This window comes from Homo sapiens, unplaced genomic scaffold (genome assembly GCF_000001405.40).
Source record: "Homo sapiens unplaced genomic scaffold, GRCh38.p14 Primary Assembly HSCHRUN_RANDOM_CTG2".
Classification (NCBI taxonomy): Eukaryota; Metazoa; Chordata; class Mammalia; order Primates; family Hominidae; genus Homo; species Homo sapiens.
In genome coordinates, this window is record NT_167208.1 from 35,165 (window position 1) to 49,219 (window position 14,055).

General features: G+C 41.2%; 1 long non-coding RNA gene across 1 annotated transcript; it reads right to left on the reverse strand.

The window, feature by feature from the left end:
* Positions 1-465: 465 nt before the first annotated feature.
* On the reverse strand, positions 466-8,517 carry LOC107987359 (uncharacterized). Its single transcript, XR_001756104.1, has 3 exons — positions 8,452-8,517; positions 5,079-5,181; positions 466-1,041 (listed from the first exon to the last, which is right to left on the reverse strand). It is a non-coding gene; the product is annotated as an uncharacterized LOC107987359 (long non-coding RNA).
* Positions 8,518-14,055: the final 5,538 nt, after the last annotated feature.

Consider the following 14,055-nt stretch of genomic DNA (forward strand, 5'->3'; position numbering starts at 1 on the left):
GCAAACTCATCCCTTCAGGTTTAGCTGTTTCTGTTAAATGCAACCCTGTCCTTCCCAGGGCATCAGGTCCCAGTGCAGTTGTCCCAGCCTGGCAGGAACTCTCCTTGAGGATTGTGTGGAGGGCGCAGCCTGGGCCTGACTCATGACCCTGGCAAAGGGCAGGTGAGCCCTGGGGCTGACCACCTGCACTTTCTGTTTGGTGGTGGGAGACGTGGGGCAATATTTCTTGCCTTTCCTTTAGAGAGCATCTCCCAGCCTGCCCAGACCATTAGACCCCTAGAAATGTGACTTGTAGGCAGGGCCTGGCTCTCCGTGGTGCTTTTCTCTCCCCTCCAAGCACCTGTGACTCTCAGGCATCCAGCCCTGCTGGCTTCCCCCATCTGAGCTCCTGATGCAGGGTGAGGACTGTATTGTGGCAGACAGCATGCCGGTTTACACAGTTCTGGGAGAAAACTATAGGTATACATTATTTTATGTCCCAAGTAAATGAATCCCATTTATCGATACTTTTTTTGGCACAGAGGGAAGAAATGCATTGGTGAGATCCATGGGCCAGAGTTCAGGCCTGTGCTCAGGCTCTGGCAGCAGCTGTGCAGCTCTGGAGCTGTTGCGGAGTGGGGAGGTGCTGTGTCTTTGCTCCCGGGTTAAAGGCTTTATTTGTTTCTTTGTTCAGTTTGTTTTCTTTGACCCCTGTTCAGCAATACTGAAAATCAAGCATTCCTAAGAGGTGGAGACACGGCTTTGGAGCAGGGGTGGGCCATTGGGTGGAAATGGAAAATAGGTTGATAGTGGGAATTTCATTTTCTGGAGCACATGTGCAGCCTCTTGATGGCCTCGTCACAAGTTCACCTGATGACGTGAGTGGCCACTGTCCTTCTCCTGATCAGGTTGCATGCTTGCCACGCACATGAGCAGTGCATGCTCACATTCTTCAAAGTGAACGAACTAAGAAGGATTTGTCAGCAGATTGTAAGCCTGAAGCTGCCAGTGTTTGGTCCACAGTAAACCACATGTGGAGAGCTTAAAAAAATGCCCTCAAATCTGGCAAGAAAATGACAATAATAAATTAAATTATTACCGTAATACACATTTCTTTAGTTACAATTAGATGTATTACACATATAACTAACAATTTTGCAGAAGTTTCTCATCTACCAGTATTTATTTATTTTTTTATAAGTTTCCAAGGAACCCTAATGATGGGGAGTGTCTCTTTTAAAATTAAATTTTGTAAATAACTCCCAGAGCCATACTGGTAAGAAACAAAACAAAACTAAAAGAACTAGAAACGTGAACAAACATTGGATTTCTGCTGGAAAAAAGGTTGCAAAGCAGGCCTGCCTGCTGCACTTCCCCAGAGCTAATCCTTGAGCCGAAAGAGCTTTCTGGTGAAGCCTCGCACTCTCTGTAACAGGGTGTGGGGGGCACCAAGACATGCGGGCTCCAGACTTGACCATCTTTACCTACTCATGGGATTTCAATCTTGTCTTTTAAATTCTTTGAGCTGCAGTTTTCACATATGTAAAGTGAAAGTATTTTTAAAATTGTAATTTGTGTTATGGCCTTGTATAAAGATAAAATAGTACATTTGAAAGCATTTTAGCTGAAGTCAAACGTTCACGTGTGTGCATGCAATGGCTTCTTAATTATTTTAGGGCTTAACCTGGTTTCACTAGTACTGTTACTAGCACTGCTACTTCTCCATGTCTCTGAAGACTATGAAATACTTAGAACTGAAGCAACAAGAAGCACCTGTCAAAGGGTTCTATGGCCGATGACAGATTTGACACAACTGGATATAATAATATGTTAGATGGTACCCAGAGATGCTGTTCAAAGTCAAAAGTGTCCCTAGAATTCTGAACCTGCTGAAGCAGCCTTCAGAACTGAAGTTGAGAAAAGTACATTTTCAGTTAAAGAAAGTCTGTGAGACTGTGTTGCCATCGAACCCAAACCACGATAAATGCAAAAGAAACTTGATCAGGATGAAGAAAAATAATAATTGGAAATTCTAGTTCACAGAAAAGATGAAAATGTGCCAAAAATAGTAAATATGTGGAGGGGAAATTACTGTTTGGATGACATCCTCCAGGAATTACAACACGTACAGAAGAAAAATCTATGACAACATGGCACAAAAGATGAGAGGATGGTAAGGTAAGGTTTTTATATTTTATATACAGTGTTATGATATTTAATATACATTAAGTATTTATATTTTAATTTCTGAACAACTCACCAAAAATAAATAAATGAAACAAAGTCATAGTTAAAAAAAAAAAAACAGGGTACAAAATCCATACTAAAAAAAAAAAGAAAACCCCATAAAACAAACAAACAAACCAAAACTGCAATAATCCAGAAGAAGATCAGGAAGGCGGAACACAGACTGTCAAAGTAGGTAAAAAGGAAACCTCAATATCCACTTTTAAAAAGAAATACACTTATGAGATAAAGATATAAATAGATTCGAACTGAAAAGATGGACAAATATACACTATGCAATCTTTTTTATCAAAAACTGCAGCCAGTGTATTAATGGCAGGTAAGACACACTGCAAGAAAGGCAAGTATCACCAGGGATAAAGAAGGATGTTTTATACCAATAAGCCCATTTGCTTAGAAAACCTAATAAGCATAAGCATGCATGCACCTAAGAAACACAGCAAAATACATGAAGCAAAAGTTATTGAATTAAAAGGATAAATGCATAAATCCACAATATGACAATTCTAATTATTATATCTCAGAAATCAATAGAAAAAATAACTACAACAATAAGACTACAGGTATTAATAGGAGAGATTATAACCAGAGCACCAGGAGAAAAACAGCAATATCCAATATGCTTACAACTATTGGTTGACAACTCAAAAGTTCCCAAAAGAATTTTTGACACTAAATAAAGGTAAATAGCCTGGAAAGCCTGCAAGCCAGCATAGGAAGGAAGTGGAAAATGAAATGTTGATGGAAAATAAATCTGGAAGTCCGGGCGTGGTGGCTCATGCCTGTAATCCCAGCACTTTGGGAGGCCAAGGTGGGTGGATCACCTGAGGTCGGGAGTTCGAGACCATCCTGACCAACATGGAGAAACTCTGTCTGTACTAAAAATACAAAATTAGCCGGGTATGGTGGTCCATTCCTGTAATCCCAGTTACTTGGAGGCTGTGGCAGAAGAATTGCTTGAACCCAAGAGGCGGAGGTTGTGGTGAGCTGAGATCTCCCCATTGCACTCCAGCCTGGGCAATAAGAGCAAAACTCTGTCCCCCCAAAAAAAGAGAAAAGAAAAGAAATCTGAAAAAAGGAAAAGAGAATTGAGGATAAAGCTTTGCAAATACAAAATCCAAAATCAAATGATAGAAATAAGTTCAAATATATCACTTTTTCCTACCAAACATAGAGGGATTAACCTCATATATTAAAATACAAAATTATCAATAACAAAGCAGCACTTTCAAATTAAAGAAATAAAAAAATAAAAATTTTATAAAAATTTTAAGTAAATATTCACAGAAAGCAAGCTGCTATCACAAAATTAATTTAGTTCAAATAAAATTTAAGGAAGAAATAATAAACAACAGGATAGACACTGCACATGGATGGACAATAGAACCGAGTAGGTGAAGCAACGTCAAGTCCAATGCTGGCCTCGCCTCCAGGACATACAAAGAAACTAACAGGATAGAGCAGGTCTAGAGAGGGACGCTGGAACCCATACTTCTGAATTTAAACGGGAAATAGACAAAGATGTTACGTGTTTATAAAAGGTTTTAAAATCACAACAAATGCTGAATATACGTCACTTTCTAGTATATGTAATACTTACCAAATGGGACACATATTAGGTTGCAAAAGAAATTACAAAAAACTGGAGCTAGCGACCAAAGGACTAAGATAACTCAGAACAAAAAACACGCCCCATATATTTTAGGAAAAAACGGCACAGTGATTTAATGGTAAATCACTATAAACATGAAGGGATTCACCCAGAGTTCAAGACGACAACATGTGTCAGCCTGACTTTCTGAATGACTGCACAGGAAAGGCTGCCATCCAAGGAAGCACAGAAAAGGACACCCCTTAGGTCCTGGATGGAGGAGGATGTTCCCCAAGTCCTGCTTGGAGAAGGTGGCTCTGGGGACCGCATGGGGAAGGATGCCCCTTTTCCAGCCTCCCCATCCATACTTCTCCTGACCTGTTAATGTAGAACAAAGAGATTTGGAGGAAGAAACATGGGACTAAACTTTACTGTTTTCCTTTTAATCAACATTTTATAAATTCTAATTTTTATTTGATAAAAATAAGTGAAATGTATGACATAAACACAGTGTAACAACCGATTAGACCTATTTTTCCAATCTGAGTCCTGGCTACCGGGAGTATTAGTCATTCTACTTTTCTGTATTTGTAAAGCTTCTCAAAATTAAAGATAAAAGAGTTTATTGCTAGTAACATGTATAAATAGACATTGAATAAAATGTGACTCTTTAAAAATTAGTTTATTCTATGGGCTTCTTTTGAAAGGTTATGATGTACTAAAATTACTAGCGGATCTTTATTACAAGCTCACTGGTAAAAATAGACAATGTGGAAATATTCTAATTTGTTAGAAATTAGTGTTGAATGAGTATTAATCAAAACTTTAAAACCAAAGTACATGGACATAAGAATAAATTATTCGACTTAATTATCCACTGACTTTAAATTCTAGTTGCTAAATTTACTTTTTGCCCATTTCACCTCCTTCAAATCTCCAAGTAACTCTTCATTTTTCTCTCCTGTCAATATTTTATTCTCCCTTATTTTTTTTCTATTTCCTGATTTTTTGAACAACTCCAAGGGAGTTGTGTTTTGCTTGTGTCGAATGACATCATTACACCAACCCATTAGGCAACTAGACCCTCATCAAGGTGAGCAATAGGAGACTTCAGACCACAGAGCCTCTCCTGATTTTTGACTCAGGCTACCTGGCAACCGTGTTTAAATTATGAGTTGTTTAATTTTTTAGATCCCCTATAGATAAAGAAGGATTTTAATAATCATCAATTTAAAATGCACTGGGACACTTTATGACTGACATTTCTTGCAGTTTCTGTGCTGCGGCCTCATGAGTCTGTAAGAAACATCCTGTTCCTCATTCTGCCCTTGCTCCTTGGACTCCAAAGGGAAAAGCCAGAAATTCTGTGGATATAAAACATGGAAACATTCATTCTTTAAACAAAAAGGCAGTAAAGCAGAGATGAGAACAGGGAAAGGATGTTATTGAATACATGCAAATGGATAAAATATGAATGATCATGTTCTCATGTTCAACTCAATTTTTAAAAGTGGATGTATGAGCAGTGCCAGCATTTAGTCAGACCATGGTGGGCCTGTGGGCTAGAACAAGAGGCCACACTCAAGGAGAGATGGCACTCACGACGTGGGGCCTCTGCTCCTTTATGACTCCCCTTCTTCAGTGACCCAGAGCACCCTCCTATCACAGCCTGTAGGGAAGAGGAAGGTGTTAGGGCACTTTGAATCACAGCGGAGTGTGTGTCTACATGCTCTCCTCACATGCCACAAATCTGCATCGCTTTACAATATTTCAATAGATTATGAGTAAGGAAGATCGCTGCAGAACCAGTAAAAGCTGCTCTCACAGACGATGCGCTAAATTGGGTTTTACAAAGTATTGTGAGAGATCTCGGGAGATGGGGAGCAACCTGCTCATAGATTTTGCCAAAATCAACATTTAAACACCTCCGTTAGGCAGAAGAGCAGTGCTACTGGAATCAGTTAGCAGCTCTTTCCTGCTGAACATCTCTCAGCCTCCAGACCCTACAGAGAAGAGGCCATGACCTAAAAGCAGTTTAAAATCTTGAAAAATAGAAGCTAAGGATTAAGTGAATATCGAAATTTGGAAAAGGAGAGAAGACTTTATTTCTTGTAGAGGGTTACAGCCTGCAAGGTGGCCACCCCACAGGCTGGGAAGAACAGCCTCCTGCCGAGACCAGCGATGGGCACTTCCAGGAGGAGGGGTTGGGGCAGGAGCTTTGGGGTGAAAGGGTTGGCTAAAGATACACATTCATCAGGTGACAGGCATAACAACATAAAACCAGCTGTAGGTAACACAGAATGATTCTGATACTGATGTTCAATTCCACACACTAACAGACGTGAGAACCTCATTCACTGCATGTGGAGAAGGCACTGTATCTGCTCTGTGCTGGTCCAGATGACTTATATTTATCATTGACTGGGTCTGCATTTTCTCTTCTCTAGATTTTGCTTATCCTGCAAAGCTTGTGCTGGGACTTCATTTCTAAGATTGAGTTTAAGCTGAGCCTCAGAGGCTTTATTGCAGCTACGGTGGATATGGCTTGGTTCCCTGCAGTACTCTCTGGAAAGTACCTTCCTCCGTTTGAAATCCCTGACATGGTACCTCCTACAGCCTGCACAGCTCTGGCCTCTGCCATGGGTCCCATGGCCTCTGCTGCTAAAACTAGAGAGGAGGTTCATCCCCTGCCTCTTTATAGAGAAGAGCCGCTTGCTGACTGAGCTGAAAAGGGACTCCCCACTGAGCAGGCTCACCAGTGTCCCGACAGCCGGGCAGATCATGGGGACGGGGAATTCTGAGCAGACCCTCTTCAGAAATTGAGTCTCAAGGGGCCTTGGGGAACTTGGTCAGCAGATGGCAAGATTTCATCTGTCAGTGGGTGGGTCAGCTTAGTGGGACTCCTGTCTTTGAAACTGAGACTCAAATCTCTACTCTGTACCGAGACAGAGATGGGGGCCAGGAAACAAGACACACAACCATTTTCCATCATCGAGGGGCAAGGCAGGGCTTGGCATGAGGCAGAACCGGGCTCCATCAATGCCACATGTCAGGAGGAACCCCTTTTCTGTTTCAATCCCTCCTGCTCATTTGTGGGAGGCATTAGAGAGGCCTGACATAGTTTTTTTTTTTTTTCTCCACGGCCTGAGGACGTGATAGGATTTCATTCCCACCCCACCTTGTGGTTGGATGGAATCATGCACCCAGTTCTGGTCAAGACCAAGAAACTGAGGTATCAGTTTTCTTTGTGTGGGACCAGGAAAATGGCTCTAATTTGGCTTTGTGTTTGTGCATGTGTGTGAGAACAGACAGGTAAATGTGTGTAATGGAGAGTGTGTGGGTGAGTGTGTACATGTGTGAGAGTGTGTATGTGAGTTATTGTGTGAATGTTTGTGAAGAAATAATGGTGTTTGAACTTGGGAGTATGAGTGTGTATGTGGAATATAACTGCGTGTGGATGTGTAAATATGAGTGCGTATGTGTGTTAATGTGTGTAAGTGTGTGAATAAGCCATGTAAGTGTGGTGTGTGAGCTTGGGCCTATGAGTGTGTGTGAGTGTGTGTGTCTGTGTGAGCATGACAGAGTGTGTGAGTTTGGGGTGGGCGCAGGCCACATCCAGCCCCTCCTGGGGTACTAGATCTTTCCAACCCAAGAACCTCAACTTGTTCTTCCTCACTCCACCCTGAGCTTCCCAGCCAACTGTCTCTCATCCAAACTCCCACAGGGAAACAGAGTCCCTGGGACCAGGGGCTCTGAGCATGGCACAGTGCCAAGTCTCCTCCCTTGCCACCTCCTGAGAACCTGGGTGTAGCACAAAACAGTCAAATATGTTCCTCTTCTGTCATCACTAACTAGAGCTCCACAACTTCCCAGATCGCCCTGTTAGCTCTTCACCATAATTAGCTATTTTCGGATGTCATACTAACATTCCTTAATTATTCCCTCAGAAACAAAGCAAATCCATGGGATGCAGAGGGTACGCAGATGATTTCTGCTCGGGAGAGAAGCCCAAACACACGTCCTAGGCAGAGCCCAGAGACCTGGAGTGTGGCCGCCAGTGGGCTGAGGGACAAGCAGATAGGCCTCAGTGGTGGCTGCCAGGTCCCTGGACACCGGTAGCCACTGGCCTTGCCTCTCCTCTGCCTCAGAAGCACCGGAGGCTTTGGGGATCTGGTGGTCCTCCGGCCCTAAACATGCACCTGGCGTGACAAAGGGAAGTTTGCCATCTGCATCCTCCTCAAGCTGCCTGTGCACCCCAGTAGCACCCACCCTCTCTGTGCTCCCTTCTGCACCCCATGTCCTGGGGTCCTTCTTTGTGCTACACCTGATGACAGGAACCAGTGTCCCGACTGTGACTTGCTTACCCCCTCAGGGACACACAAGCACTTTAATATCGAGGCTACTTTTCACCCCTTCTGCCTCCTGCAGGGACGCTCGATGCAGAGGCAGGAGGACAGAGGGGCTGGTCTCAGGTGTGGCTTCTCTCACACCTGGCGCAGGTGGCCACTCCCTGCCCCCCACCCCCCACCTCAGCTCCCGGGTGTGAATGAGAAAGGGGAACCAAGAGATCATCGTTACATGGGACACACCACAAACCCCAAAAAGACCCATTTGGTGAAAAGAAGTAAAACAACCACAAGTCTATTTTCGCCTGAGGTGGTCTCATGGCTGAAGCAGACCGCTGCTCTCCTGTCTGGGCTACTCAAATAGTAACCCGGTGTGTCCTCCCATGTGCATTTTCCTTCGGGTTGAGCAAAAACACTTTGTCATCTTCCCACTCCTCAATAGAGCAGAAGGGAACGAAAGGCAATTACAGGGCCTTACAGAGCTGCTCCGGGGGCCGCGGGAAACTTATCAGCATCCTGGAAAAGACAAAACCAGTGGGTTGCATGTGGCCTCTGACACCTGCCACCCTGACTGCAGGGTGTGGCCACCCCCACCTTTCACCTTCCCATCATTAGCGCCTGGACAAAGCGCTCGAAAGCCCAGGCCCGTGGGTCAGCTCCAGCTGCTCCGCCTGACAGGGGTCAGGGAGGCGGGCCAGCCCCACAGCCAAGTCACAGCTACAGGGCCTGGTCGCACCTGAGCAGCGCGGCCTCGGGCTGCTGCTGGCGCTGCAGGCTCCGCGCCTGACCCTCCAGCCTGAGCAGCGGGCACTTGGCCGGGAAGCACCTCTCCAGCTTGCGGCTCAGCACCACGTTCACGCGCAGCGCCTGTGGCCGCTCGGCCCCGGCTCCACGCAGCGCTTGCAGACCGTGAGCCCGCAGGGCAGTGTCACCGGCTTGTGCAGCAGCCGCGGGCAGCCGAGCAGGTCGCGGGGCGCGCCGGGCTCCAGGGCCGGCCCTCCCTAGCCTGGCGCCTCAAGCTCGCCGCCCGGCTTCCCCGTGAACAGTGGCCGTTCGCGCAGGCCGGGGCACACCAGGCCGCCCGCCAGCTCTGCCAGCTCTCCCAGCTCCTCCGGCCGCAGCGCCTCGAGCCGCAGGGCGACACAGAACGCGCCCAGGGCCACCGGGAGGCGGTCAGCGCGGGCCAGCGCGTTCCCCAGCCTCAGGCACTGACCGCGGTCGGGCTGCGCCAGCCGGGCCAGCGTGGAGCGGAAGAGCCCGGCTGCTTTCTGGTACTCGCTCTGGCGGAAGGCCTCGTCGCCCACCTCCAATCGCTGGGCGATCGGCTCCCCGCAGTCGCAGCCCGGACACTGGGGCGGCGGCGGGACCGGCTCAGTGCTGATTCCCGCGGGGCTGCGCCCCTGCGGGCCTGGAGCGAAGGCGTGGAGCAGGGGCAATGCGCTGCTGCTGGGAACTGGCCGGCGGGAGCACGGCCACAGCCTTCGCCTGCAGAACGAAAAAAGCGTTTTAAAAATCCTTTTAACATCCGCAGAACGATTTTTAAAACCTTTTTTAACATCTCTGAAGAATTACATTGGAAATTTGTTAGAGATTGTATTGGACCTATAGACTGATTTGAGTATGATGGTCATTTTAACAGTATTAATACTTCTAATTCATAAAAATGGGATAACTTTCCCTTTATTTGTATCTTTTTCAATTGATTTTTATCAATGTTTTATAGTTTTCATTTTAGACATATTTATTTGGCTTAGTTTATTCCCAGGCATTTTTTTATAGCTATTTTAAATGGGATTGGTTTCTTGATTCCTTTTTCAGATGGTATGCTGTTGGGTATAGAAATGCGACTGATTTTTCTATGCTGATTTTGTATTCTAAAACTTTACTGTATTCATTTACTATTTCTGTTTTTTCAGTAGAGTATTTAGGGTTTTTTATACATAAGATCATGTCATCTGCAAACAGGGACAATTTGACTTTATTTTTGTTTTTCAATTTGGATGTCTTTTCTTTTGCTGGCCTAATTGCTCTGGCTAGGACTTCCAGTGCTATGTTGAAGAGAAGTTATTAAAGTGAACATCCTTGTCTTGTTCTAGACCTTAGAGACACAGTTTTCAATTTTTCCTTATTCAGTATCATGTTGGCTGTGGGTTATCATATATGGCCTTTATTTTATGGAGCTATGTTCTTTTTATAACTAATTTGTTAAGAGATCTTATGTTTACAAAAAACATTGAATTTTGTCAAATACTTTTTCTGTATCTATTTAAATGACTATTTTTTTATCTTCCCTTATCAAATGTGGTGTATCACATTTATTGATTGACATATCATAAGCCCTCCTTGCCTCCCTGGAACAAATACAACCTGATTATGGTGAATCATCTTTTTAATGCACTTCCAAATTATGATTGCTAGCATTGCTGGTTTTGAATTGTTGCATTCATGTTCATCAGTGATATTGGCCTGTAGTTTAGTTTTTTACTGTTCTTGTCTCATTTTGGAATATGGTAATTGTGTCTTCATAGAATGAGTTTGGAAGAGTTTCCTCCTTTTCACTTTTTTTGTAATAATTTGTAAATAATTACTATAAGTTCCTCTTTAAATGTTTTGAAGAATTCAGCAGTGTAAGCATCGGATCCTGAACTTTACTTTTCTTTTCTTTTCTTTCTTTCTTTTTCTTTCTTTCTTTCTCTCTTTTTCTTTCTTTCTTTCTTTCTTTCTTTCTTTCTTTCTTTCTTTCTTTCTCTTTCTTTCTTTCTTTCTCTTTCTTTCTTTTGTTCTTTCTTTCTTCTTCTTCTTCTTATTAAATATTTTTGGTTTAGAGACAGGGTCTTCCTCTGTCACTCAGGCTGGAGTGCAGTGGTGCAATCATAGCTCACTGCAGCCTCAAATTCCTGGACTTCAGTGATCCTCCTGCCTCAGCCTCCCGTTGTTAGGACTGCAAGTGCACACCACTACACCTGGCTAATTTTTATTTTTATTTTTGTAAAGACTGGGTCTCACTATGTTCCCCAGGCTAATCTGGAACTTCTGGCTTCAAGTAATCCTCTTGCCATGGCCTCCAAAGTGTGAGTTTACATGTGTGAGATACTGTGACAGGCCCTCCAGATTTTCTTGTATTGAGAGACAATGCTTCAATCTCATTATTTGTTATTGGTCTGTTTGCATTTTGTGTTTCTTCATTCTTCAATTTTGATAGGTTATATGTGTTCAGAAACTTATTTATTTCTTCTATGTTTTCTAATTTATTGGCATATAATTGTAGTACTTTCTCATGATTCTTTGTATTTCTGTAGTAACCATTTCAATGTCTTTTTTCATCTGATTTTATTTATGTGAATCTTCTCTTTTTCTTAATCTGACTAAATACATATCGATTGTGTTTATCTTTTCAAAAAATAACTTTTCATTTCATTGATCTTTCATATTTTTGTCTCCATTTTGTTTATTTGTGCTCTATTCTTTATTATTTGTATTCTTTTTTACCAATTTGGGGCTTAGTTTGTTCATGTTTCTATGATTCCTTGAAATACATTCTTAAGTTATTAATGAGAGTTTTCTTTTTTTCATATAGAAATGTATTTCTGCAAACTTCCCTCTGAGGACTTTTTTTGCTGTATTTCTTAAGTTTTTATATGTTCTGATTTCATTTTCATTTGTCTTAAGAAATTTTAAAATGAAACAAAATTTATTTTTTAACCCATTGTTTAAGGACACATTGTTTAATTTGTATGTATTTGCACAATTTCTGAAGTTCTTGTTGTTTATTTCTAGTTTTATTCTATATTGTCAGAAAAGACGTGATATAATTTTGATCTTTTTTGAATTTGCTAAGGCTCATTTTGTGCCTAATATATGATCCATCATGGAAAATGTTCCATGCGCAGTAGAGAAGACTGTGAATTATGCAATTGTTGGATAACATGTTCTGTAAATGACTACTAAATTATTTGGTCTAGAGTTCATTTTAAATATGATGTTTCTTTGTTGATCTTCTGTCTTGATAATCTGTTTATTGCTGAAAGTGGAATGTTTAGATTTCTTACTATTATTTTATTGCTTGCTGTTTCTCCTGTTAGATCTATTAATGTTTGGTTTATATATTTAGGGGCTTCAATATAGAGGGCATATATATTTACAATTATATTATCTTGTGATATTGACCCCTTTATCATTATATAATGGCCATATTTGTCTGTTTTTATAGGATTTTGCTTGAAGTATATGTTATCTGATATAAATATATCTATACCGGCTTTCTTTTGGTTTCCATATTTATGAAATATATTTTTCCATCTGATCACTTTCAATTTATGTGTGTATTTACAGATGAAGTGAATTTCCTGTAGAAAGTTTATAGTTAGGTCTTGTTTTTAATCAGTGTAGCCATTATATGTCTTAAATGGGATAATCCATTTACATACAAGATAATTATTCATAGGCAAGGACTTGGTCCTGCCATATTATTACTTGTTTTCATGTTTTTTAAAAATTTATACTTTGATTGATTGATTGATTTCACTATCTTCCTTTGTGATTAAGTGATTTACTCTATCAGTGTGTTTCGGTTTCTTTTTTTTTAATTTTTAAAGTATCTATTAAAAGTTTTTGCTTTGTGGTTACCACAAGGCATGCAAAGAACATTTTATGGTTACAGTAAGTTATTTTAAAGAGATAGCAACTTAATTTTGATTCAAAAAAAGGGGAAAAGAAACCACTCTACTCTTTAACTTCATCACTCCCTCACATTTTGCATTTTTGATGTCTTAATTTACATCTTTGTATATTTCTATTCCTTAACAAATTATTGTAATTATTATTTTATTTGTATTGTATTTTAACCTTCCTACTAAGGATATATAAGTGGTTTACATCCAATTATTACCGTATTAGAGCATTCCAAATTTGTCTGAATCCTCACTTCTATCTGTGGGTTTATACCTTCAGATTTTTTGTGCTACATATTGCTGCCATTTCCTTTCAGTTTGAAGAACAATATTTAGCATTTCTTGTAAGGCTTGTTTGATTACAATGAATTCCTTTGCTTTTTGTTTGTCTGAGAATGTTTCAATCTCTCCTTTATTTCTAAATGATAGCTATGCTGGATACTTTATTCATGGTTGACAGTTTTTTTAATTCAGCACTTGAATCTATTATCCTACTCTCTCCTGGCCTGTAGTGCTTCTGCTGAGAAGTCTGCTGCCAGGCATAATGGAATTCTCTTATGTGTTGTTTCCTTTTTCTTAGTCCTTTCAGGGTCTTCTCTTTGTCTTTGACCTTTGAGAGTTTAATTATAATATGTCTTTGGTTGTCTTATTCAGATTAAATATGATTGGGCACTTTGACCATCCTAAACATTTTAATCTTTCTCCAGGTTTAAAAAGTTTTCTGTTATTTCTTTGAATAAACTATCTCTTTTTCATTCTTAGTTCCACTTTAACACCAATGATATGTAGATTTCCTCTTTTGTTGGTGTCCCACAAATCTCATAAACTTTCTTTGTTTCTTTTCATTCTTTTTTTTCATTTTACTCTGACCATGTATTTTCAAAGAGCCTGTTGTTTGAGCTCAATGTTTCTTTCTTCTGCTTGATCAGTTCTTCCTTCTGTTGATGCCTTCCGTTGGATTTTCAATGTGTTCATTGAACTTTCCTGCTCCAGGGTTTACATGTGATTTTTCCCATTATTTTGATTTCTTTGTTGAATTTCTCTGGTAAATTTCTGAATTGTGTCTCTGCTTCTCAGTGTTCAGGCTCTTCTTAAGACAGCCATTTTGAATTATTTGCCTGCCAGATCATTCATCTGTATGTCTTTAAGTTCAGTTGCTGACACCTTGTTTTGTCCATTTGGAGAGGGAACTTTTCCTAAGCTATCATTATTATATGTAGAT